Here is a 27,147-nt window from a genome sequence, read left to right as displayed (position 1 = left end):
AACCCAACCCGATTACTACGCAATTCCACTCCTAGGCAACTACCTCCCGAAAATCCACACAGGTGCTAACCAAAATTCATATATAAAAACACTTATAGCAGCACTATTCATCATACACACACACTGGGCAACCCAAGTGTTCGACACTGTATTCAATGGCTCACGACAACAGCAAGAATAACCGCCGCTACACACGGCAACAGAATCGATCTCGGGTGTCTTACAAGACACAAAAGAGCGCAGATACTATGATAATGTTTATATACGTTTCCACACCAGGCAAAGCTGTATTATTTCGGGGATGCACAAACAGTTGATAAAACTGTGAGAAAAGAAAAAGGCAAGCGAGTGCATGCTGCACAACCAGGAAAGGGGAACTGCGGGGGAGGCCAGAGGGGCGAGCGGGGCTGCGCCGGGCCGGTGAGGCGCCCCGTCTGCACCCGACAAGCCCCGTGTTGTTTCTGGATATTCCACCGCATACTTGGCTGCGCGTCCTTCTGTACACACAGCACATTCTCGAAGCTTACAAAGGTCGAGAACATTGCTGACGTGGCCCATGACCGGCTCGTGTGTTCATCCGGCAGACGCGGAGCACAGCTACATGCTGAGCATGCTATGCAGGACCTGCTTGCCAGCGAGCCCGTGAAAATCCAGTCCAAGGAACAGGAACAGCTATCACACATGGCAAAAAGGCGAGAAAGGCCATGAGAAACATATCAGGTTAGTAGAGGAAAAATCAGACGTTTGGTCCAGACCCTAAAGAGCTGCTGGTGGCATCTGAACATTCAAACTCGGGACAGACTTGGAGTAGAAGGAACGGACACCGGCGTCCCTGACCGTGATGGGCAGGACAGGAAGCTGCAGCGCCCGGGGCTGCTCTTCAGTTCCCGCCTGGCAGCTGAACCACAGGCCCCCATGGCAGAGGGGGAGGAGAGAGGGGAGGGCTGCCATGCCCGGACCCTGCCCAGCCAGAGCGACACAGGCAGAAACAGGAAGGCGGGTACCAGAGCACCACCATGGCCCAAACTTTCTTACTGCTTTTTTCCTTTTAATTCTTTGTTACTTTTTTGAAACAGAAACTGAAGTGTTGAATTTTTGGCCAAATGGAAAGTGGAGTGAAAAACAGACACCCACATCTTTGGAGGCAACTTTCCCCAATCCATGACCTGTGATCACGACGTGGTTACTACATACAGGATCACGGGGCAGGCAGGAGGCACCAATCAGTCACAAGACTCAATTTACCAAAATCTATGACAGCCCAAGTGTGGATTTTTGTCTCTCAGGCTCAATTTCAGAGAAAAATAGGCCTGTATAAAACTAGCATCTGTGGAGAGATCAGGATGGGTTGAAGTAGAAGTTAATATATGGCTTCCCAGTTGAACCAAACAATTAAATCTATGCCAGAAACGGGGGATTGATGCCCTCACAGACTCGCAACATCCTGCCTAGCGGCCCCTCCATCTGCCTGGCTGCAGAGCGCCTCCCGACAAACTGCAAACAACATTGTGACAGATGTGGAAATGTTAGCTCACGGCCACCACTGAGAACGGGGCTCAGAAGACCTCGGAACAATATTTAATGCGTTGTATTGAGGAATTCTGAACAGAGAGTGTATATACCTAAATTATAAAAGGAAGCAGACTTAGAATGAGTATTTTTCATAAATACTACAAATTTTGAACCTCTAGCCACTACAGAATTGGTTTAACAGGCATTCAAATACTTTAAAACCCAAACCAAAAATAATATAATTCCTAAATTAAGTATACCTCCAGGCTCCTCTTCATATTACACATTATAAAATCTAATCTATATATAAGTGGCTCCAAGTAGAATTCACTTTGAGAAGCAGCACTGTGCCTAAACTATGCAACTGCTTAAGGCACATAAGCCTGAGCGACGTAGCAGCGTGCACACTCAGGACCACCCTACGCAAGTGCTGTGCACCGTGTGCCCGGGGCTGTAGGACCCAGGGCCACCCTAACGGGTGCAGCAGCCCTGTGCGCCTCCACGGCACTGAGGAAAAAATAATAAACCGGCCAGCCGCGGTGGCTCACGCCTGTAATCCCAGCACTTTGGGAGGTTAAGGCGGATGGATCATGAGGTCAGGAGTTCAAGACCAGCCTGGCCAACATGATGAAACCCTGTCTCTACTAAAAAATACAAAAATTAGCTGGGCGAGGTGGCGCGTGCCTATAATCTCAGCTACTCAGGAGGCTGAGGCAGGAGAATCGCTTGAACCCGGGAAGCGGAGTTTGCAGTGAGTCGAGATCGCACCACTGCACTCCAACCTGGGCGACAGAGCAAGACTCCATCTCAGGAAAAAAAAAAACAAAAATAATAATAATAATAATAATAATAATAATAATAATAAACCAAAGCACTGAAACAAGAACAGGATATTATAAAACTAACCACATTCTTACATAATTTGGTTTTAATTCAATTTCCAAATGGCACCCCTCCCTAGCTTTCTACAGCTATTCACATAAAAGCAAAGTCTCATTTTCTTTCAGAAAAGTGTAACAGAGTTGGGGGAAAGGATACAAAACCCAGCCATAGCCAGCTCACGCTCTTTCTATATTTTATGAATCCATACAAATAATATGTGGCTTATCTTAAATGTTTGAGTTCTGGTAACATCTTGCCAGTGAATACCCAACACATCCAAGATCATTTATTTTAATAAAGCCTCATAACTCACCAGCTACCACAGCCTCGATTTAACTCAAGGATCAAAGCATAATTCCCATTTTCTCATGGTAACAATGTTTCTAAGTGGCTAAGAGATAAAAGCAGTAAACACATGATGGCGTCCACGTTCCATCCGGACAGGCCCGTGAAGCTGAATTCTGCGGTGGGCCAGTCTCAGATAAGGGGAAGCCCCAAAGAAGTCAAAAGGGGAAAGGTTGTGGGAAAAATGAAACACAGGAAAAGGACTTTCTCTGCCATTTTATTGAGACATGGTAAACGGAGTAACACATAAAGGAAAAATCGCACTCCTGGCAGAGTCTTCCCTCCATCCGCAGATGATGATTCTGGAGGTTTTTATAGCAGTGGTCCTCTTTGTTCTCGGTGGTCAGGAGAATTTCCACAGGGCTTTTTCCCAGAAGAATTCCACTCATCTTGAAAGGCAGTTATTTATGAGTCACCTTATAAGGTTTAAATTATTATTTTTTCATTTTTTTTTAGCTCCCCTGAGTTCTGACCTTAAAAGCTCAAAGAAAAATTCAGCACTTCACAACCCTCCTCTGAAACCCCCAGGTGACTAGTTTCTCTAGAGCTCTCAGTAAAAATCCAACACACAGAAACTAAAAACCCCATCAAAGTGCAATTCAAGTCAGGACACTGATTCCCCTTCACTGCTGAGAAAGAACTCAGCATCAGATGACAACACTCAAGATAAAAGCGGGGGTCTCCTCGGCCTGGCTCAGCCCGCACTGCCTGGCTCCAGCTCCCTGCTGGGTCCCCCTGCGCCATGCCCCTGACCTCTGCAGAGCAGGCCCCACAGCCAGGTCTGGGAGCAAACAACCAACAGCACCTTCACCGCCTGCAGCCACAGGCAGCTGCCCGAGGACAGGAGGCAGAGGGTGACCACTGCAGAGCTGGGGGACACCCTCCGCCACTGCCTCAGTGACATGGACACCTGGGCAAAGGTCTCTTTCTCCACTCATCATGGGCCAAATAAGAGCACATTAGGTACCCCTTGCCTCCTCCTGACCAACGGCAGGGCTGGAGGCAGCTGCACCTGCATATCATCGGAGAGCTGATTCCGGGGGTGCATTCTCGTTTCTACTCTACAATAGCTTTCCTCAGGGGAACCTGCAGCACTTTCCAGAGACGTCCTTGTTATTCCCCCTTCACTACCGGGTTGGGAGGCCAGTGGATGATCCTCACAGTACAGATGAAGACTGAAGGCAAGAGGCGGGACGGCTCCCGGGAGCATAGGTGCTGGGCCCAGAGGTAGCACAGGCTCCTGCCAGCCCTCAAGAGGCCTCCACCAGCTCACAAGGTCCCACGTGGGACAGGCCTCAGAAAGAGGCAGTGAACAGCTGGGCGCAGTGGCTCACACCTATAATCCCGGCACTTTGGGAGGCTAAGGCTTGCAGATCACTTGAGGTCAGGAGTTTGGGACCAGCCTGGCCAACATGGCAAAACCCCATCTCTACTAAATGTAGAAAAATTAGCCTGGCATGATGGTGCCCACCTGTAATCCCAGCTACTCAGGAGGCTGAGGCAGGGGAGAATCACTTGAACCAAGGAAGCAGAAGCTGCAATGAGCGGTGATCGCGCCACTGCACTCCAGCCTGGGCAACAGAGCAAGACTCTGTCTCAAAAAAAAAAAAAAAAAAAAAAAACAGGAAAGAGGCAGTGGACAGGGACCACAGTTAGCATTTTCTAACAAACAGCTTGGTTGACAACTGCCTTTATGTGTACTGAAAGTATAACTGAGAATATTTAGCCAGGCGTGGTGGCGCATGCCTGGGGTCCCAGCTACTCAGGAGGCTGAAGTGAGAGGATTGCTTGAACCTGGGAGGTGAAAGTTGCAGTGAGCCAAGATCACACCACTGCACTCTGTCAAGCCTGGGTGATAGAGTGGGACCCCGTCTCAAAAAAAAAAAAAGAAAAAAAAAGAAAGAATAATAGAGACTAAAAATTGTGAAAAATTTTTCTAATAGATTTAAAACAGCCCATTTGGCCATGCGCGGTGGCTCACGCCTGTAATCCCAGCACTTTGGGAGGCTGAGGCGGGCGGATCACGAGGTCAAGAGATCGAGACCATCCTGGCCAACATGGTGAAACCCCGTCTCTATTGAAAATATAAAAATTAGCCAGGCATGGTGGCGGGCGCCTGTAGTCCCAACTACTCGGGAGGCTGAGGCAGGAGAATCGCTTGAACCCAGGAGACGGAGGTTGCAGTGAGCCGAGATCACGCCATTGCACTCCAGCCTGGGCAACAGAGCAAGACGCTGTCTCAAAAAAAAAAAAAAAAAAAAAAGCCCATTTGTCTGACCGCTGTCACCCTCACACTCAAGCATATGTGTCAGATGCACACATGTATGTGCGATCAGAGAGGGCCGTGCAGCTCAGGGAAGCAGGATCTGCGTCCACACAGTCCAATTGTTCAGGGAACAGAAAAGAAGTGGTTCCAACCTGCTGGGTCTGCACTCAGGGACTTGGCAACAGTGCTCCTTTTATTCACATCAATCACAGTACACACGCATTCTTACCCCACCTTACAGGAAACTGATGTTCTGAGTGTTTAAAGGTTCAACCCATCTAAGTCCACAAGCCAGGAATCAGCTGAGCTGTCCTCTGAATCCAGGTCCACCTAGTAACCACGCTTCCACCACAAGCATCTTTCCAGCAACATAGAAATCCCGTGACATCCTGAGAGGGGTCATTTAGTTCCTCCTGGAATGTTCAATGAGTGAGATGAGGCTGTTTGTCCCATGGCAGTGTCCACTTGCAGCTGGCCCTCAGAAGCCATGGCCAGAGCTCTCCCTCTCTAGTGCCCAGGGCAGCACTTCTCAGCCTGGAAAGGAGTATCCAAGTTCCTCCAGAGCCTTCTCTCTCCTTCAACATCCCCAGCCCTCTGCAACTCTCCCTAAGGGGAGCTGCTTCCAGGTTTCTCAGGGTCCTAGATCACTCCCCTTGGCCACCATTTCTCAGGTGTGCTCTGTGAATGCAGCTCAAAATAGAAGGTCCAGAAGAAAATCAGATGCTCCATGAGCAGTCTCCACTGCAGAGAATAACAGGGATCCACAGGCCCGATGTGCAGTATCCACTGCAGAGAATAGCAGGCATGCACTGGCCCAATGTGCAGTCTCCACTGCAGAGAATAACAGGCATGCACTGGCCCGATGTGCAGTCTCCACTGCAGAGAATAGCAGGCATGCACTGGCCCGATGTGCGGTCTCCACTGCAGAGAATAGCAGGCATGCACTGGCCCGATGTGCGGTCTCCACTGCAGAGAATAGCAGGCATGCACTGGCCCGATGTGCGGTATCCACTGCAGAGAATAGCAGGCATGCACTGGCCTGATGTGCGGTCTCCACTGCAGAGAATAGCAGGCATGCACTGGCCCGATGTGCAGTCTCCACTGCAGAGAATAACAGGGATCCACAGGCCCAAAAATGGACAATGATTAAGGCCACCACATACACAGCGGCTTTCACAGGAATGGCTAAATGTTTACCTGCATTTACGCAATTGATGGGACAAATAAAGGGGGAAGGAAGGAAGGAAGAAAGAAAGCAAGGGAGGAAGGGAGCAAGGGAGAGAAAGGGAAGACTAAATGCAGGACTTTCAAAGTATCTCTGTTATATTTTACCACAATCTGCCAGCATGTCATCCTTTCAAGATTGGAGTAAATCACGAGTCTTTCATCTACATTAGTACCTGTCCTTCCCAGCTTTATATCATCAGCACTCAGTAATCACGCCTTCCAAATCTGTATCCAACACACTGACGAAAATGATGAATAGGAAAGGTTCAATCACAGAGCCCCAAGCCACACTTCCAAGGGGACCTTCCTCTAGGTTGGAAGAGGAACAAAACAATTCTCAGGATGTGGGTGGCCACAGATTCACCTAGTATGAAAGGCCACACAGGCTAGGCATGGTGGCTCATGCCTGCAACCCCAGCACTTTAGGAGGCTGAGATGGGAGGATCACTTTAGCTCAGAAGTTTGAGACCAGCCTAGGCAACATAGGGAGACCCCGTATCTACAAAAAATAAAAATAAAAAATTAGCCGGGTATGGTGGCATGCACCTGTGGTCCCAGCTACTCGGGAGGCTGAGGTGGGAAGATTGCTGGAGCTGAGGAGTTCGAGGCTACAGCGAACTGTGATTATGCCACTGCACTCCACCCCAGGCAACGGAGTGGGACCCTGTCTCCAAAACAAAACACAAAAAACCCCACACGGGTCACTCTTCACTGTTTTACTTACAAGTGGACGAAGGGCATAAACAATTAAACATAATGAAACTGACCCATAAACATATGTAAAAATACTCAACTACACTAATAATCGAAAAGTATAATTAAAACAATGAAACGGTCAAGCGTCTACTTAATTGCAAAGGTATTTTCAAATGGCAATGCCCAGGGCTGGCAGCCGAGCCAGGAAAAAGCCTCCCTCAGACCCCACGAGCGGGCACATAAAATGGGACAAACTTCCCAAACAGCAATTTTGCAAAACGTGCCAATTCCCCTAAAGGTTATTTATTATTTATCCAGTTATTTCTATCACTTCCAGAAACCATACTGAGAAAATAACCAGAAATCTGAACAAAGATTTATACACTGTCTCATCATAACATGAGTTATAATATTAAAAAATCAGAAGCAACCTAAATGTCTAATAGCACAAAAGTGGTTAAATTATTGGTAATTCCCAATAATGAAATATATGCATGTATTTCCAAAGAGTCTCCTGAAAAAGGAGATGAGATCAGGAAACATGCCTGACCGTGAGGAAGCCATGATTGCACATAGTATTTGGCCCTTTCTTTTCTAAGTAGTTGTAAGTCAATTATTTTAAAATTCTAGTTCTCTTTCTAAATACAGAAGCAAAGCAGCCCATGATAGATGCCGTGCTGAGGCTCCTCTCCCTAGGCAGCACTGCATCAGGAATAATCCCACACTCAGCATCCTTGGAATGAGAAGTATAAAGAGGAGGAGAAGTTCATCTCAGAACTTCAAAAAGACCTGCGCTGAAATCCTCGACTCTAGTAAGTGACACTTAACTACCCCACATGCAGATTTTTAAGAACATGGCTTACAAAAAAGGTTGAACTTTTTCATTTACATGGATCCCAGACCCCTCGGAAATATCTTAATTTACTCTCTTAGTTTAAAAGAATAGTCCTTGGGCAAGGCCAGCAGGCTCACAGTGATGTGGACATAAGGCTCCCGCCTCTGGGAGAGAGAAAAGACTAGATCCTCTTCCTTGCCTCCAGCCATCGTGACGTGGGCTTCTCTGGGCTTCAGTCAGGTGTGAAGTGTTGTTGTGGCAAAAACCTCTTGCCATAAAGATCAGGAAGGGCCGGGCATGGTGGCTCACGCCTATGATCCCAGCACTTTGGGAGGCTGAGGCAGGCGGATCACCTGAGGTCGGGAGTTCGAAACCAGCCTGACCAACATGGAGAAACCCTGCCTCTACTAAAAATACAAAATTAGCCAGAGTGGTGGTGCATGCCTGTAATCCCAGCTACTCAGGGGGCTGAGGCAGAAGAATCGCTTGAACCCGGGAGGCGGAGGTTGCGGTGAGCCGAGATCGCACCATTGCACTCCAGCCTGGGCAACAAGAGCGAAACTCCATCTCAAAATAAATAAATAAATAAATAAACAAATAAATAAATAAAAGATCAGGAAGGGATCCACAAAGTCCTTGAGGCCCTAACTCGGGCAAAGCACAGGAGGCTCAGATCCCATATGTAAATAATAACCCCGAGTACCTGTGCAGAGTACCAATGCAGAGTACCTGTGTAAGGTAGTTATAAGTTGCAAGGGGACAAAGCAAGTAAGGAGAGTTGCAAGGGGACAAAACAAAACCTTAAAATTACTGCTACCACATGAAGTTCAAACCTGTCCAGCACCCTCCAGGGAGGCTGGCAGGCGAGGAGGGAGGATGGTTCCCTTCCCAGCTGCCGGCCGCCCCCATGCCCTCCTGCTTCCTTCTGCTCCCAGGCCCCTGCACTGTGCACTTAGCAGCGGTGCCAGCAAGCGCCAGGCTGTGTCCCTACCTCAGTGGCCCAAGCCCCAGCTCACTGGGTCCCTTCTCTAGCCATCTAGATTTAAGTAACTCCAGCCTCTTCTATTTGTTCCCCCAGCCCTAGCAGCAGCACCTGCCTCCTGTAGTTACCGTCTCAGTCAAGGTTTCCTTTTGGCCCTTTCAGCCCCTCGAAAGCCTGTAAAACCAGTTCCCCACCTAAATCCGCTTGGTTGAGATACCTGGTGTGTTTTCTGTCTTCTTTACTGGATCTTGGTGGATACACCTTCTAATGCTTCAACTCAAAGAGAAAAGACACACATAAATCAGAAGCAACAGAGCCCACGGAAAGCAGCCACGTCTGTCCTGTTGTTTGGCCATGTTGGGAAGCTGGACAGCTTGTGTTGATCAGAAATCACGACTGCAAGATACCCTGTGTTCCCTCAGCTGACACGCCACTTTGGAGACAGTCAGGCCTGAGTTCAGGGGACCTTCTGCAAATTACTTCACCTCTCAAGCCTTCAATTTCCTCCCTTGAAACTCAGGACCAAAGCAGTGCCAACATCGCAATGACTGTTGACATCTGGAGTGAAATGTACCACCCCCCCAACCACTCACTCATGAAAGATCCTTTACTCCACACTAAACAACCCAGCTCCCTGACTTAAGTTCCTCAGATGACGGTTTGCATCCCTTCACTATCTCAGCCACGCACCTTGAATAAATTCCAATGTAACGTGCAATCTTTTTAAAGAGGGCGCTTCTTTAGAGACAGCTCATGAGCAGAGAGGCTATCTCCGCCCTCAGTCTGGATGCTGCACTCTGTGAACACAGCCAGGGTCTGACGCATTTGACTGCGCCGCACATCACAGCGTCAGGCCATATTTTGCCTTCAATCAGCTAAAATAACCTAAACATGTTTGCATAAGCCTAAGAAGTGTTCAAACTGACACTGCTTCATTAAGCGTAGGTCTTCCAGATTACAAAGAAAGCCCATTCTGCATCTTGGCTATTCACCCTCTCCCTCCAGGAAGGCTGCAGGTCCAAGGCCCTTCGAAGAGAATGGCACTGGAGATGGGCATGAAGCCCAGCTCCAGAGCTGGACTGCAGCTTCCACACAGTTTGACACCCTGGCCATGACACCCTGCTGCTACCTCTTTATCTATTGCTTGATGAAAAGTATAGACTGTACACTTATCCAATTCTTCAGTGACTTCCGTGGAAAGGACTGTAAATAAGCTGGAGAGTCAGGCGCAATGGCTCACGCCTCTAATGCCAGCATTTTGGGAGGCCGAGGCAGGGGGACTGCTTGAGCCCAGCAGTTCAAGACAAGCCTGGGCCACATAGGAAGACCCTAGCTCTATAAAAAAAATGTAAAACTTGCCAGGTGTGGTGGCATGCACCTGTAGGTCCCAGCTGTCCTCAAAGTCTAAAAGAAAACATCACTCTAGAATTCCATCCCTAGGAAAAATACCTTTCAAGAATGACAACTGAGGCCGGGTGTGGTGGCTCATGCCTATAATCACAGCACTTTGGGAGGCCAGTTCAGATGGATTGCCTGAGGTCAGGAGTTCAAGATTAGCCTGACCAACACGGTGAAACCCATCTCTACTAAAAATACAAAATTAGCCAGACATGGTGGTGCATGCCTGTAATTTCAGCTACTTGGGAGGATGAGGCTGGAGAATCATTTGAACCTGGGAGGCAGAGGTTGCAGCGAGCTGAGATCGTGCCACTGCACTCCAGCCTGGGCAAAAAGAGCGAAGCTTCATCTCAAAAAAAAAAAAAAAGAATTATGACTGAATAAAGACATTTTCAGAGGCCAGGCATGGGAGCTCACGCCTGTAATCCCAGCATTTTGGGAGGCCAAGGTATGTGGATCGCCTGAGCCCATGAGTTCGAGACAAGCCTGGGCCACAGGGCAAAACCCCGTCTCTACAAAAAATACAAAAATTAGCTGGGTGTGGTGGTACACACCTGCTGTCCCAGCTACACAACAGTCTGAGTTGGGAGGATGGCTTGAACCCAGGAGGTGGAGGTTGCAGTGAGCCAAGGTCATGCCACTTTACTCTAGCCTGGATAACAGAGCGAGACCCTGTCTCAAAAAAACAAAAACACACAAACAAAAAAGATATTTTCAGACTAACGAAGTGAATGTGGCATCAGTAGACCGTCATGAGAAAAGAATTCTGAAGTCTTTCAGTCAAAGTAGGTGGCCCCATAGGAAAGTTCTGAGACGCTAAAGGAAAGGAGAGCGAAGAGTCAAAAGCATGTGCATCAGCCTGAAAGAACAATGACTGCCGAAAACAAGGATGGTAACTTGGGATGTTAAAAATAAAATACTGTACACAGCAATACTCACATACAAGAAACAAACGGATTAAATAATTTCCTAAGTCTTGGGTTGTCTAAGAAAAGAATAAAGGTCATGACGGACGTTGTACTTTTTTCAGTATTCCTACTGTAATTTCTAAGAAACCATTACAAGAGAAAAACAGTGCACTGCTTCAAAAATAGTAAAAGGGAAGAAATTAAATATTTTCAATCTATAAAAAGGCATTTAAAAAAACATTACAGGAAGGACAAATAGAAAGCACAAAAGAGATGGCAGATTTAGGCCCCAATGGCTGTAAGTAGACTAAGTGCTCCAACTGAAAGACAAAAATCATCAGACTGATCTGTTTTAATCCAACTACAAGCTGTTTATAGGAGACATATGAAAAATACAAGGCTACAGAAGTGTTGACTTATATAAAAGGACAAATAAACAAGACTGACACTAACCAAGAGAAAACTGGTGTAACTATCCTGAGACAAAACAGACTGTAAGGCAAAAAGTTTTATTAGGGATAAAGAGTCACTTTACAACAATATAGACTCCAATTTACCAGGAAGATACAACAGTTTTACAACAATATGGCCTCAAAATATAAATGAAGCACAAATGGGCAGAGAATTCTATCTAAATATGTCTAATAAGGAGAATAGACATATTTACAATGATGGTGAGAAGTGTTAATACACCTCTCTGTTACTGATAGAAACAGTCAAAAAAATCAGTAAAGTGTAAATGATTTGTACACCACAAATAAAATATTTGACTTAATGGACACGTATAAAAGGTGGCACCAACAGCTGTAGACACGCATCGTGTTCAAGTACACAGGGAACATTTACAAAAACTGACCACGCACGGGCCTATAAGGGACAGAGCAGCTGAAATTCCAAGCGTGTGCATGCATGTATGCACACGTGTGCACACAGCGGTGCAACCTACACCATCCACAACACGAGGGGGCGCCATTCGCACATGGCAACGGTGTGGATGGCTCCCCCTACAGACGTGCGGTGCACCTGCTACTGCCCTGCTGACAGACGTCTACTGATCAAAATGCAATTAAGAAATCAAAAATAAATCCTAGAAAAAGTCTTCTATGTTTAAAAATTACAACACTTTTAAATAATAAATTGATCAAGTCAAAATAAAATTTAGAGAATAATTTGAACTGAACAAAAATACTGTATATCCAGCCAGGCATGGTGGCTCATGCCTATAATCCCAGCACTTTGGGAGGCCAAGGCGGAAGGAGCCAGGATTCAAGACCAGCCTGGGTAACACAGGGAGACCTCGTCTCTGAAATACATAAATATATTTTTAAAAACTACTACTTGTTGAATGCCATTAAGCATTTACATTTCTAAATGCTAAGTGCATACACTAGAAAAGACAAATGGCTGAAAACTAATAAGGTAAGTACTCATCTCAAGAATCTCCCCCTCAAGAATGGCGGAAAAGGTAATAAAACAAACCCAAGGAAAGTAGAAAAAAGGAAATAATAAGATATAAAATAAACTAGGGGGCCAGGCATGGTGGCTCACATCCGTAATCCCAGCACTTTGGGAGGCCAGGGCAGGAGGATCACTCGAGGCCAAGGAGTTCAAGATGAGCCTAAGAAACATAAGAAGACCCTGTCTCTACAAAAAAAAAAAAAAAAATTAAATAAGCTGGGCTTGGTGGCACACATCTGTAGTCCCAGCTACTTGGGAGGCTAAGCGGGGAAGACCGCTTGAGCTCAGGAGTTCAAAGCTGCAGTGAGCCATGATCGCACCACTGCACTCCAGCCTGGGTGACAAAGCAAGATCTTGTCTCAAAAAAACAACAACAAAAAAGAGTGGACGCACAAATCTCAATGTCAGGAATAAAAAGGAAACATTACTACAGTCCCATTGACTTTAAAAAGATCACAAGAGGATGTTACAAACAACTTTATGCCTATAAATTTGAAACCTAGATGAAATAGACAAAGTCTTCTTAAAATGTAACTTGCCAAAACTGACTCAAAAAGAAAAAAAAAACCGGCCGGGCGCGGTGGCTCACGCCTGTAATCCCAGCACTTTGGGAGGCTGAGGCGGGTGGATCATGAGGTCAGGAGATCGAGACCATCCTGGCTAACAAGGTGAAACCCCGTCTCTACTAAAAAAATACAAAAAATTAGCCGGGCGCGGTGGCGGGCGCCTGTAGTCCCAGCTACTCGGGAGGCTGAGGCAGGAGAATGGCGTGAACCCGGGAAGCGGAGCTTGCAGTGAGCCGAGATTGCGCCACTGCAGTCCGCAGTCCGGCCTGGGCGACAGAGCGAGACTCCGTCTCAAAAAAAAAAAAAAAAAGAAAAAAGAAAAAAAAAACCATCTTAAAAGCTTAAATCAGAACTTTAAAAATTTTTTTACAAACAACACTTTCGGATTACATGACCTTATGGGCAAGTTCTACCAGGCATTTGTGGGACAAGTTATTCCCAACCTGGACACGAACTCTCGGGAACTCAAGAATTGACATGAAGCCCAAAACTTCCCCCGACCCAGGCATGTGGGCAGACAGCTGTAGGGCTGACTCTTGCAGCCCTGCTGCCCTGGAAATGCACCAGTTAAGATAAATGGGGAAGGCCAGTGCTAGGAGCTGGTTCTCCATCTGGGTTCCCATGAGCCTTCTGATCTGTGGGATGTCCTGGAGTAGAGGGGTGTAAGGTGGCCTCATGATTAGAATGACACTCAAGACCAGCATGAAACCACGGCTGGCTCCTCTGCATCCACACCCCTTACATAACTGCATCCGATCCCCAGCAGCCTTACACACTCTTCAGGATCAAGGGGGCAGGAAGCTGTGTGCATGGCTGCCAGGGCTCCTGATGACATGGAGATATCATGAATGCTGCATATAAAGCAATATAAAAAATAATTTTTACTCTTATATACCTACCAAATAACAGGCTAAAAACTTAAATTTTTTAAAGTTGCCTCTTAGGACAGCATCAAAATAATATCAAGTACTTAAAAGAATTCCAACAAAAGATGGGCAACACCTCTACAGGGAAAAGCATATAACTTAATTCAGGGAAATTAAAGAAGACCTATCTAAATAAGAGATATGCCATGTGTGTGGACCAGAAGTCTCAATTCTGAAAAGATATCAAATCTGTCCAAATTGATGTATAGGCTCAGTGCAATCCCAATCAAATACCCCCCAAATTTTCTTTCTTTGAACTCGTCAAGCTAATTGTTAAACCTATATGAAGAACAAAAGAACAAGAATAGCCAAGACATTCTCAAGAAAAACAAGTGCTTCCTTCACACATTTTTTATAAAGCCCTAGTAATTAAAGCAGACAGAGTGGTGCTAGGGCTGACCAATGACACCAGCAGATCAATGGGATAAACAGCAAGTCCCAAACAGACCTACTTGGCCTACGACAGAGCACTGCAACTGAGGAAGAAGGATGAGCTTTTCACAAAAATCTACTAAGACAACTAGATATCCACATGGGAAACTAGATCCCCACCTTAAACCATACACAAAGTTTATACAAAACTTAAACAGGAAAGAAAAAGCATAAAGCCTTAACAGATAATACAGATTAACTTCATGCCATCAAGGGAGAAAGAGAGTTCCTAAATAAGATGCAAAAAAAGCACCAACCTTTAAAGGAACAGACTGATTATCAGACCATATTAAAATGGAGAATGTCAAAAGACCCCATAAGGAACATGAAAAAACAAGCCTCCGAGTGGAAAGATTTTGAGATTTGTTTTTGGTTTTGGTTTTTTAGAGAGAGGGTCTCACTCTGTCACCCAGGCTGGAGTGTGCTGGTGCGATCTCGACTCACTGCAGCCTGGAACTGCTGGGATCAAGCCATCCTCCTGCCTCAGCCTCCCAAGTAGCTGAGACTGCAGGTGTGCACCACCATGCCCGGCTACTTTTTTTGTTTGTTTGTTTTTGAGAGATGGGGTTTCACTATGTTGCCCAGGCTGGGAGGTATTTATAATACATATTCAAAATATATAAAAGCTCCTAAAATCAGTAAGAAAAACACAACTCAACAGAAAACTGGGCAAAAGACTTGAACAGGCATTTTTTTAAAAAAAAGAAGAAAATATATAATTATCTTATATCCTATGCCTGCTTAGGTGTACCAGAATATATAAGAATGCTCATTTGTCCCAGGAGTTCGAGACCAGCCTGGGAAACATGGCAAAACCCCATCTCTACAAAAAAATACAAAGAAAAATTAGCCAGGCATGATGGCACCTGCCTGTAGTCCTGGCTACTTGGGAGGCTGAGGTGGGAAGATCACCTGACCGTGGGAGGTCAAGGCTGCAGTGAGCCGTGATGGTGCCACTGCACTCCCACCTGGGTGACAGAGTGAGACGCAGTCTCTAAAATAAATATGTAATGCTAATTTCAACATTGTTCAGCAGTAGAATGGATAAGTAAATTGTGATGTACACATGAAATGAGATATTACATAGAAGTAAACAACATATATTCAAGCACCTGATTTTTTTGTTTAAAAGAATTTAAAATAGTTACTCTATCCCTACAGCATACCTAAATGTTTTTCTCAACCACCTGATTCTTATCAATACGATACTGAGAAAAGAAGCAACACACGAAAACGCAAGTACAACTTTTAGAGACGCACAGGTAGGAAAACCATTAAGAAAAGTGAAGAGGCTGGGCATAGTGGCTCATGCCTATAATCCCAGCACTTTGGGAGGCCAAGGCAGGCAGATTGCTTGAGCTCAGGAGTTTGAGAGGAGCCTGGACAACACGGTGAAGCCCTGTCTCTACAAAAAATGCAAAAATTAGCTTGGTGTGGTGGTGTGCACCTGCAGTCTCAGTTACCCGGGAAGCTGAGGTGAGAGGATCAATTGAGCCCAGGAGGTCGAGGCTGCAGTGAGCTATGATCACACCACCGCACTCCAGTCTGGGAGACAGAATGAGACCCGATCTCAAAAGAAAAGTGAAGAGATAATTATTGCCAACAAAAGGAAGAAAAGTATTTGCCTCTTTAAGAAAAGGAGTAACTGGGATCAAGGTGCAACACATAAAGAAGTCCTAGGGTACTGAAATATTCTATATCTTGACTGGGCTGGGGGCACACAGATGTTTTTATAAATACTGATGGAATTGTAAATAGATGTTTTCTGTATTCTTTACTTCCTAATTTCAAAAAAGAAAGAAATCAAATCAGACTAGAAAGGACCTTCTTAAACAAAATAGCTAAATGAAAAGAACAATTAGACCATTTTCTATAGGACATGAACAATGATTAACACTGAAAGAGGATTTCTGTATAATTAACTAAACCTTTAAGGTAGCCAGCCAAATCCCGCACTCTGGCACTACATGACTGAGTGCCCAATTTAGATCTGTAACACCAAAACAGGGGAGGATTTTATCCTTAAATCCTCTTACGTGTTTAACAATTATTTCAGTTTCAACCTCTGACCTACCTGGCGTTATAAAGCCCAAGTGAAATGCAAATGTTTCTATCAGAGAAAGGAGAAACTCTAAATCTAGCCTTGCAAATTAGTTGTCTAGGGATCATGAAAGCTGAACTCTTCCAAACTTTAATCTGTACTATTAATGTGATACACCAATGTAATCTTAAATATTAATGCTGTGTGTAAGTTGGAAAGTGAAACTCCACTGGGGGGGATAATTAGGTTCAGTGAAAGAACAACTCATTAATACATAACAACTTATTCACTGTAAAGAATCAACCATCAGGCCCAGCATGGTAGCTCACGCCTGTAATCCCAGCACTTTGGGAGGCCGAGGCAGGCAGATCACTTGAGGTCAGGAGTTTGAGACCAGCCTGGCCAACATGGTAAAACCCCATCTCTACTAAAAATACAAAAATTAGCCAGGCATGGTGGTGGATACCCGTAGTCCCAGATGTTCCGGAGGCTGAGGCAGGAGAATCGCTTAAACCCAGGAGGCGGAGGTTGCAGTGAGCCGAGACTGCACCATTGCACTCCAGCCTGGGTGACAGAGTGAGACTCTGTCTCAAAAAGATAAAAAATAAAAATAAAAAAATCAACCATCAGCTACTCTAACCTACTTAATAAAAGGTGATCCCGTCACGCATCATTCATCTATCTGGCACTTTCTTTCATTTGCCCCTTCTATATCATACTTGGGGGGACTACCACTTCCAGGAAAAGATGGACTAAGTAGGAACAGCCTAGCCCTCCCACCATACACAACTAGAAAACTGAACACAATACATAAAACACTTCTTCAGGCATTGAACAACGAGTCATACAGGAACGTGGTCCCTGAGCGGGAAGACAAATGAGGTGTGCCCCGTGACACAGGAGCTTTCTGCATGGAGACAGGGGCCCATGCAGACCGTGACAGTCACTGAGCTGAGGAGAGAGAGGTCTGAGTTCATGATGGCCACAGCAGCCAGAATGAGAGCGGCAGAGTAACAAGGAGGAGACAGCCACACGGAGGAGGCAGAAACGGAGCTGGGCTCCTTGAGTCCCTGCCTGAAGGCAAGGCAGGGCGTGCTGCTGGTGAGACTCCAGGAGGCCAGGCAAAGAGCAGCCACAGGGGCAGGAGAAGCGGAGCAGGGTGAGAAACATTCAAGCTCCAACGAGGAAGAATTAAGGGACCTCATGAAGCACCCACGACCCTCACGGAGACTCAGAAAGGCCACAACGTTAGGCACAGGGCTAAACTAGACCAAAAGTAAAGGCTTCTCTAGACTAGGGGTCACCAAATTTCCTGCTGTAAAGGGGCAGATAATAAATACTTTAGGCTTTGTGGGACATATAGATTTTGCCTCAACTTCTCAACTTTACCACTGTCACATGAAATCAACATAGACCATCCACAAACAATGGGACTGTGTTCCAGAAGACTTTATTTATAAAAACAAGCAAGGGGCCATAGTTTTCCAATCCTGACCTAGACCTGCTTTTATTTATTTATTCATTCATTCATTCATTCATTTTTTTGAGACAGAGTCTCGCTCTGTTGCCCAGGCTGGAGTACAATGGCACAACCTCGGCTCACAGCAACCTCCACCTCCCGGGTTCAAGCGATTCTCCTGCCTCAGCCTCCCAAAGTGCTGGGATTACAAGCGTGAGCCACCACGCCCGGCCTAGACCTGTTTTTAAAAGACAGCAAACAAGCCCTATAAGAAGGCAGCTGATCTACAAGTAAACTAACTTCCTGCCAGAACAAAACTCAACACTGTTTAAATGCAGAAAACAAAACGCAGATGCTCAACAACGTAACACTCCCTATGTCCAGCATCCAATCAGAAATTACTAGAGGTAAGAAAAAGCAGGAAAGCCTGATCCACAACCACAAGAAAGTCAGTCCATCTAGACCCAAAAATGAGAGTGACGAGGAAATAACAGATAAGATTTTTAAAACAATATTACAAATTTGTTCAAGGATTTAAAAGAGAGCATGAATACGAAGAAAGAAATCCAAATGGAACTTTTAAAGAAAAAAAATAGCATCTGAAATTTTGAAATACATCGGATGAGTTGGCTTAAGAGCATGGTAGGGCTGGGCATTGCAGCTCACACCTGTAATCCTGACACCATGGGAGGTCACTTCAGCCCAGGAGTTCAAGACCAGCCTGGGCAACATAGTGAGATCCTCCTGTCTCTGTAACAATAAAATAAAGAGCATGTTAGATACTATAGAAGAATAGATGAGAGAACGCGAAGACATTGCAACAGAAACAATTCAACTGAATCACAGAGGAAAAAAAGATGGAGGGAATGGGGATCCTCAGTGGGACAATATCTAGCATCTAAAATAAATGTAAATAGAGCTCTGGAAGATTGAGGAGGAACAAGGGGAGAGATAGGAAAACTGGAAAAATAATGGCAGTACATTTTCCAAAATTTTGGTGAAAAGTATAATCCTACAGATCCAAGAATGTCAACAAACCATAAGCAGGCTAATCACAAAGAAAACTACACCAAGGTACATTGTAATCAAACTGCTAAATTCCAATGACAAAAACATCTTTAAAGTAGCTGGAGGAGAAAAAGAATATTACATACTAGAGAACAAAAGTAAGACCAACAGCAGACTTCAGGAACAAGACAAGCCTGAGACAACAGAACATCCTTAAAGTGCTAGGAGCATAAAGGTGAAATAAGGACAACCTCAGACAAACAAAAGCTGAGAAAACATGTGACCAAAATACCAGTACTATAAGCAAAGTTAAAGTTCTTCAGACTGAAGGAAAATATACCAGATTCAAGCTCAGAGCTATAAAAGGAATGAAGCCTAGAAACAGAAATATGTGGGCTGGGTGCAGTGGCTCATTCCTGTAATCCTAACACTTTGGGAGGCTGAGGCAGGCAGACTGCTTGAGGCCAGGAGTTCGAGACCAGCCTGGTCAACATGGCAAGATCCCATCTCTACTAAAAACACAAAAAAATTAGCTGGGCATAGTAGCGCATGCCTGTAGTCCCATCTTCTTGGGAGGCTGAGGCACGAAAATTGCTTGAACCCGGGAGGCAGATGTTGCAGTGAGCCAAGATCACACCACTGCACTCCAGACGAAGCAACAGAGTGAGACTCTGTCTCAGAATAAAAAAAAAGAAAAAATAAATAGAAATATGTGGGTTAATATAAGAGATATTCTTATTTTAAAATTTATTTCTAAGATAATGGACTTTTATTTATTTATTTATTTATTTATTTATTTTATTTATTTTTTGATACAGAGTCTCACTCTGTCACCCAGGCTGGAGGGCAGTGGCGCGATCTCGGCTCGCTGCAACCTCCGCCTCCCGGGTTCAAGCAATTCTCCTGCCTTGGCCTTCCAAGTAGCTGGGATTATAGGCGCCCGCCACCATGCCCGGCTAATTTTTTTTGTATTTTTAGTAGAGACAGGGTTCACCATGTTGACCAGGCTGGTCTTGAACTCCTGACCTCGTGATCTGCCTGCCTCGGCCTCCCAAAGTGCTGGGATTACAGGCGTGAGCCACCGCGCCCGGCCAGACCTTTTTTAAGTAATAACAATGTACTGTGGGGTTTAAAATGTGTGGAAATAAAATGTATGACATTGATAGCAAAAGGACGGGGGAGAGCAGTACACCCTTCTTCTATAAGGTTCTTATATTACATGTGAAGTGGCATAATATCATTTGAAGGTACACTGTGATAACTTAAAGATGTAATATTGAAAATCTTAGAACCACCACCAAAAAAAAAAATAAAATAAAACAAAAAGGTATAGGTTGGGCATGGTGGCTCACACCTGTAATCCCAGTACTTTGAGAGGCTGAGGCAGGTGGATCACTTGAGGTCAGGAGTTCAAGACCAGCCTGGCCAACGTGATGAAACCCTGTCTGTACTAAAAATACTAAAATTAGCCAGATGTGGTGGCATGCATCTGTAATCCCAGCTACTCGAGAGGCTGAGGCATGAGAATCGCTTGAGCCTGGGAGACAGAGGTTGCAGTGAGCCGAGATCATGCCATTGGACTCCAGCCTGGGTGATGGAGTGAGACTCTGTCTCAAAAAAAAAAAGAGGTACAGCTAATAAGCTAATAGAGAACATATCATAAGGGTAATATTTTGTTGTTGCTGTTTAAACTAACACTAAAATAATCATGCAGAAGTTTTTTAAATTAAGTACAGGAAAATATACATTCTTTTTTTTTTTTTTTTTTTTTTTTTTTTTGAGACGGAGTCTCGCTCTGTCGCCCACGCTGGAGTGCAGTGGCGCGGTCTTGGCTCACTGCAAGCTCCGCCTCCCGGGTTCACGCCATTCTCCTGCCTCAGCCTCCCAAGTAGCTGGGACTACAGGTGCCTGCCACCTCACTGGGCTAATTTTTTTTTTGTATTTTTAGTAGAGGAGGGGTTTCACCGTATTAGCCAGGATGATCTCGATCTCCTGACCTCATGATCCGCCTGCCTCGGCCTCCCTAAGAGCTGGGATTACAGGCGTGAGCCACCGCACCCAGCCAGGAAAATATACATTCTTATAATTCTACCTACCCCTACCTCCCATACCTGTGTATAAGTGTATACCTTCCATAAATTTTTTATATAATTATTTTATTTATGTGTACATATACCTTTTTAAAAACACAAATAGGTTCATACCATAAAATCTGTTCTGTGCCTTGTTTTGCATTGTTTTTACTTAGTAACATCTGGGAAACCTCTCCATAACAGCACACACAGAGTTACCGCGCTATCTCTATTTGCTGCACAGAAGCTGACCACGGCATGAGACAGGCACCAAACATTGGGCTCTTAAACTACAGTCAAGCAGTCCCAGGGAATTTCTCAATATTATCCTGCTTAATCCCTACAGCTGCGCTATGCAGGAGGAGTCTTAGACCCACTTGATTGATGAAAACACTCAGACTCAGACCAGGAGCAGACAGGTAGAGAGCCGTGGAACCAGCTTGGAGAAAGGTCAGTGGGACTCCAAATCCCATTCTCTTAGATAAAAACTATGTTGCCTCTTCAATTCTTCAAGTCCATCAAAGTTGTCTGACTCCACATAAGGAGGGACTTTAAACCAATGAGAAACTGCCAGAAAGGCTGCACTCAAAACTAAGCAAGAGCAGTGTAGAAACCGGGCACCAAAGCTGTCCCAGCGCTAGATGCAGCTCCTGGCTCGCCGCTTAACACCCAAAGAATTTGGTAAGGTTGGCTGTGCTCTCCAAATAGCCTCAGTTTACTCAACTGTAACAAAATAAGCCTGCTAGGGCCTTTGTCAGGATTAGGGAAATTAATCCACCTTTTAAAATGTTTGCAAATTATAAAGAGATACAAAGTACAGAGCGAGACAGCTCCCACACCCATGCCTCCCTCCGCCTCCCAGCCCTGGGGCTCTAACCCCTCCACAGCAGTGCACGCCTCCCTCCGCCTCCCAGCCCTGGGGCTCTAACCCCTCCACAGCAGTGCACGCCTCCCTCCGCCTCCCAGCCCTGGGGCTCTAACCCCTCCTCAGCAGTGCCGCTTGCTTCACCACATTCTCCCCTGCCTTGACTCTCCCCTGCACTGGCTCCTTCTCAAAGAAAACATTGTTTTACTGTGGCCTCCTTCAGTCACCAGCCCACCTTGCTCCTCCTACACCCCCCATGGTGTGTGACCACCACCTCCCCTTCCCTTTGCCTTCTTAACAATTATTCCGCAGCAATCCAGCTTCTACCAAGCTCCTTATTCCACCAAACCTCACAAAGTCATTGATGGCATTGGCGCAGTCATCCAACAGTTACAAAAAGACTCTCCCATGTAAGAGACACTTCCTAGTATTATCTGTACAAGTCTCAAGGGTAAGGACTGTAGGTGTTTTTCTACAAAACTTTCAAGATAACATGCGTTCCAGGTATTGGCAAGCATGTGGAGGAACTGGGACTCTCACACAAAGCTAGAAATCCTTCTACCATAAAGACACGCATGCTTATGTTCACTGCAGCACTACTCACAATAGCAAAGACATGGAATCAACCTAAATGTCCATCAATGACAGATCAGATAAGAAAATGTGGTACATGCCAGAGATCAACATATAGAAAAGAAAAGGTGGTGCATATAGGCTATGGAATACTATGCAGCCACACAAAAAAATAAGATCATGTCCTTTGTGGGAACATGGAGGCCATTATCCTTAGCAAACTAACACGGGAACAGAAAACCAAACACCGCATGTTCTCACTTATAAGTGGGAGCTAAATGAAGAGAACATGCAAACACAAAGAAGGGAACAACACACACTGGGGCCTACTTGAGGGTAGACGGTGGGAGGAGGGAGAGGATCTGAAAAAAAAAGCTATTGGGTACTAGGCTTGATACCTGGCTGACAAAACAATCTGTACACAAACCTCTGTGACATGAGTTCACCTATATAACAAACCTGCACATCCGGAAAAAAAAAAAAAGCTGTTGGGTACTAGGCTTAATACCTGGCTGACAAAATAATCTGTACACAAACCACTGTGACGTGAGTTCACCTATATAACAAACCTGCACATGTACCTCTAAACCTAAAATAAATGTTGTTTTAATATGAAAAAATAAAATAAAATAAGAAGGGTGTGGCGGTATCTCCTAGAGCTGAACATTTGTATTCTCTATCTCCCAGCAATTCCACCCCTAGGAATCAACACCAGAGACATATTAGATACATGTTCCCAAAAAGACATGCGAGCTGTGGTCCCAGCACTTTGGGAGGCCGAGGCGGGCAGATCACAAGGTCAGGAGATTGAGACCATCCTTGCTAACACGGTAAAACCCCATCTCTACTAAAAATACAAAAAATTAGCCAGGCGTGGTGGCAGGCGCCTGTAGTTCCAGCTACTCGGGAGGCTGAGGCAGGAGAATGACGTGAACTCGGGAGGCAGAGCTTGTAGTGAGCCCAGATCACACCACTGCACTCCAGCCTGGGCGACAGAGCGAGACTCCGTCTCCAAAAAAAAAAAAAGAAAAGACATGTGAATGTTCCCTGCAGCACAATTTTAGTAGCCGAAATGCTGGAAACCACCCAAATGTCCATCAGCAGGTGAGTTAACTGCGGTCCAAGGGGGTGAATGAGCATGGCTACTAGAGCAGCATGGATGAATCTCACAGACAATGCTGAGCGAGAGAAACCAAAAGCAAAAGTAAGGTCACACAACCCTGGACATCAGGAGCACAGCTTCCTGGGGAGGGGTGGGCACGACTGGGGGCACAGAGGATCTTCAAGGCGGGGCTGTTCTGTTTCTGGATCTGGTTGTGAGAGTGTTCACTTTGTGGCAACTCATCCAGCAATTAAGATGCACTGGGCATCCTTAGGCAACATAGTTGCTTAGGGACATTTAAGTGAGACTCTTCTTTGCAACCAAAAGAACCTGACTAAAACAAATATCTTGATTTCAAAACAAAAAAAGAAAACAGAACTTTATCTCCCTTATTTTTTATTTATTATCTTTTTTTTTTTTTTTTTGGAGACTTAGTCTCGCTGTGTTATCCAGGCTGAAATGCAGTGGCGCAGTCTCGGCTCACCACAACCTCTGCTTCCTGGATTCAAGCAATTCTCCAACCTCTGCCTCCCGGGTTCAAGTGATTCTCCAGCCTCAGCCTCCCAAGTAGCTGGGACTACAGGCGGCCGCCACCACACCTGGCTAATTTTTGTATTTTTAGTAGAGACGGGGTTTCACTATGTTGGCCAGGCTGTTCTCGAACTCCTGACCTCGTGATCCACCCGCCTCAGCCTCCTCAGCTATGATCACACCTCTGCACTCCAGCCTGTTGCAGAGCAAGGCCCTGTCTCAAAAATAAAAATTAAAAAAAAAAACTCTTCAGGGAAAACATTCATGCCTGCTGACCCAGTAAAAACACATCTTGGTGAAAAGAGCTGTGTGTACGAAGTAAAAGGCTGCACAGTGGTTCTCTGGAGCCTGAGCCCTGAGGCCAAACTGCGGGTCTGACCCAGGCTCTGCCACCTGCCAAGCCAGACCAGCAACAGACCAGAAACCATGGAAACGGCCCACTATTGATGCAGGATGGTAGCCCACCCGATGAAGCCACATGTGCCAACATGAAGCATCTTCAGGACATCGGCAGCAAGGCAGGCGACGGTCACACCTAGCTGAAAACTAAATCTGGACCTCAGCAAGGACTTACAGAAAATGCAGGAAAAATCTGATTTAACTTTTTCACAGTACTTTTGTTTTGATATATCTTTAAACTGCTTGTCCGATCTACTTTGTTTTTGTTTTTTGTTTTGAGACAAGAGTCTTGCTCTGTTGCCAGGATGGGGTGCAGTGGCGCAGTCTCAGCTCACTGCAACCTCTGCCTCCCAGGTTCAAGCGATTCTCCTGCCTCAGCCTCCTTAGTAGCTGGGATTACAGGTGTGCGTCACCACACCCAGATAATTCCTGTATTTTTAGTAGAGACGGGGTTTCGCCATGTTGGCCAGGCTGGTCTCGAACTCCTGACTTCAAGTGATCCGTCCGCCTCAGCCTCCCAAAGTGCTGGGATTACACGCATGAGCCACTGCTCCCGGCCTTGTCTGATCTACTTTTAAGGATAAAATAAAAAGCTCTCCAAGAAAACATCAAACTAAAAGATGCTCACTGTGTACTGGGGAGGCTGTCATGACCACCCAGCCCCCAAGCAGGGGAGTGAGGGGAAGCAGGGGTAAACGAAGGCCACACACTGAGGGGCACAAGATCAGCGATCGTTTTAGGCAACAATTTCAACATATCCCACCAAAACATTCCTTAAGTTTTCACAAGCAAACACGTGTTCTTTGGCTTTCCAAATGCCTGGTGTATCTTGTTTTTCTCTCCTACATCCAGTTAGGAGGCTGCGTGTCACCCTGCATCCTCCTGCACCCAAGCAGTCACCAAGGGTCGCAATTCTGCTTCCAGGGGCTCTTGGGGCTGCCGGGCCTGTCACTACCAGCCCAAGCCGCCACCAGACCCTCATCTCCTCCTACCCTCAAGAGACTCCCCACCCCACACCATGCTCCTCCCTAACACACACATATACTCACAAATACACATGCACTGACACATAAATACATACGTATAAACATGTACACACATACATACAGACATAAACACACATGCATACACATAAGCACATGTACACAATCACACATACACACAGACTCACACACACACATATTCACATACATACTTACATGTATACAGTCTCTCACACATACATATTCACACAGTCACACACAAACACACGTACACACTCAGACACATATACACATTCTCACACACCCCAGTCTGCAGCCACAGGGATCTTTGTAAAATGCCATCCTGGGCTGGGTGCGGTGGCTCATGTCTGTAATCCTAGCACTTTGGGAGGCTGAGGTGGTGAATCACTCCAGCCCAGGAGTTCAAGACCAGCCTGGGCAACATGGTAAAACCCTGTTTCTACAAAAAAATACAAAAATCAGCCAGGCATGGTGGCACATGCCTGTAGTCCCAGCTACTCAGAAGGCTGAGGCAGGAGAATCACCTGAGACCAGGGAGGTCGAGGCTACAGTAAGCGGTGATTGTGCCACTGCACTCCAGCCTCAGTGACACAGTGAGACCCTGCCTCAAAAAAACTAAAAATAAAAATAAAATAAAATGCCATTCTAGGGCTGGGTGCGTGGCTCATGCCTATAATCCCAGCACTTTGGGAGGCCGAGGCTGACGGATCACGAGGTCAGGAGTTTGAGACCAGCCTGGCCAATATGGTGAAACCCCATCTCTACTAAATATATATATATATATATATATATACATATATATATACATATATATATAAATTAGCCGGGTGTGGTGGCAGGTGCCTGTAATCATAGCTACTCAGGAGGCTGAGGCAGGAGAATTGCTTGAACCCGGGAGGCGGAGATTGCAGTGAGCCGAGATCACACCACTGCACTCCAGCCTGGGTGACAGAGTGAGACTCCATTTCAAAAATAAAATAAAATAAAATGCCATTCTGAACATGTCACCACCCTGCTTTAAAAGCTTTCTTACTTGTGCTTAAGATAAAATCCAAATTCCTGTGGCCTTATAAGCCGGTCAGGATCTGTCCTGTCCAGCCCCCCGGCTCACAGATCTCTCAGTTCTTCTCTTCTCAGGGTCTCTGCTCCCTTCCTTGACTCAACAAACAGTTATTGATCACCTATTGACCGCCAGTCACCCCGGGAACAGCCTCGGGCTCAGCAGTGAACACAGAGTCCCTGTTCTCTATACAACATCCTAGTGGGGAGACAAAACGAACACGTAGCCAAGTGCTGGGGAGTGGCAGTGTGGGAAGGGAATGGCAGGCACAGAGCACCGGGTGGGCATGAGGCGGCTCCCACAGCACAAGGGAAGGCCCCTTGCAGGAGGCCCCCAGTGGCGTTTCCCTGAAGACCCTGCTCACTCACCTCTCAGCTCCTGCACGTCCCCGTTCCTCCAGCTGAACCTTCCACCCCACTCCCTTCCATTCTGTTTCAGCTACTGGCTTAGAGCTCCCACCTCCAGAAGGCCTTTCTCCGTCCGGCCCATCCAGCCACCACCACCTCACACCCTGCCTCCTGCACTGTCATCCATCTGCCCTGATAGACTGGAAAACACCTTCAACGCAGGAATTACTCCCCATGGTATCCGCAGCACTTA

General features: G+C 45.9%; 1 protein-coding gene and 1 long non-coding RNA gene across 5 annotated transcripts in view, besides 1 other annotated feature; one reads left to right on the top strand and one right to left on the bottom strand.

Moving 5' to 3' along the window:
* RPTOR (regulatory associated protein of MTOR complex 1) overlaps nucleotides 1-27,147 on the bottom strand; it is a 421,531-nt gene that overhangs the window by 378,825 nt on the left and 15,559 nt on the right. The window lies entirely within an intron of this gene.
* LOC105371922 (uncharacterized) lies at nucleotides 583-27,073 on the top strand. 3 transcript variants are annotated; one of them, XR_007065932.1, is made up of 5 exons: nucleotides 583-720; nucleotides 7,577-7,740; nucleotides 21,360-21,463; nucleotides 23,139-23,249; nucleotides 26,986-27,073. It is a non-coding gene; the product is annotated as an uncharacterized LOC105371922 (long non-coding RNA). The 3 variants fall into 3 exon arrangements; XR_001753038.2 differs by having other exon boundaries at nucleotides 7,559-7,740; XR_001753040.2 differs by lacking the exon at nucleotides 23,139-23,249 and having other exon boundaries at nucleotides 26,986-27,038.
* Nucleotides 11,901-12,195: an enhancer, noted in NCBI's record as "tiled region #3542; HepG2 Activating DNase matched - State 12:CtcfO, and K562 Activating DNase unmatched - State 8:EnhW". NCBI's record gives its function as "activates a minimal TATA promoter and a strong SV40 promoter by Sharpr-MPRA in HepG2 and K562 cells {active_cell/tissue: HepG2 | K562}" and the evidence as "EXISTENCE:reporter gene assay evidence [ECO:0000049][PMID:27701403]".

The sequence above is a fragment of the Homo sapiens genome, chromosome 17 (genome assembly GCF_000001405.40).
Source record: "Homo sapiens chromosome 17, GRCh38.p14 Primary Assembly".
Classification (NCBI taxonomy): Eukaryota; Metazoa; Chordata; class Mammalia; order Primates; family Hominidae; genus Homo; species Homo sapiens.
The sequence above is the reverse complement of the archived record's forward strand: the minus strand, read 5'-3'. Positions and strand labels throughout refer to the sequence as shown.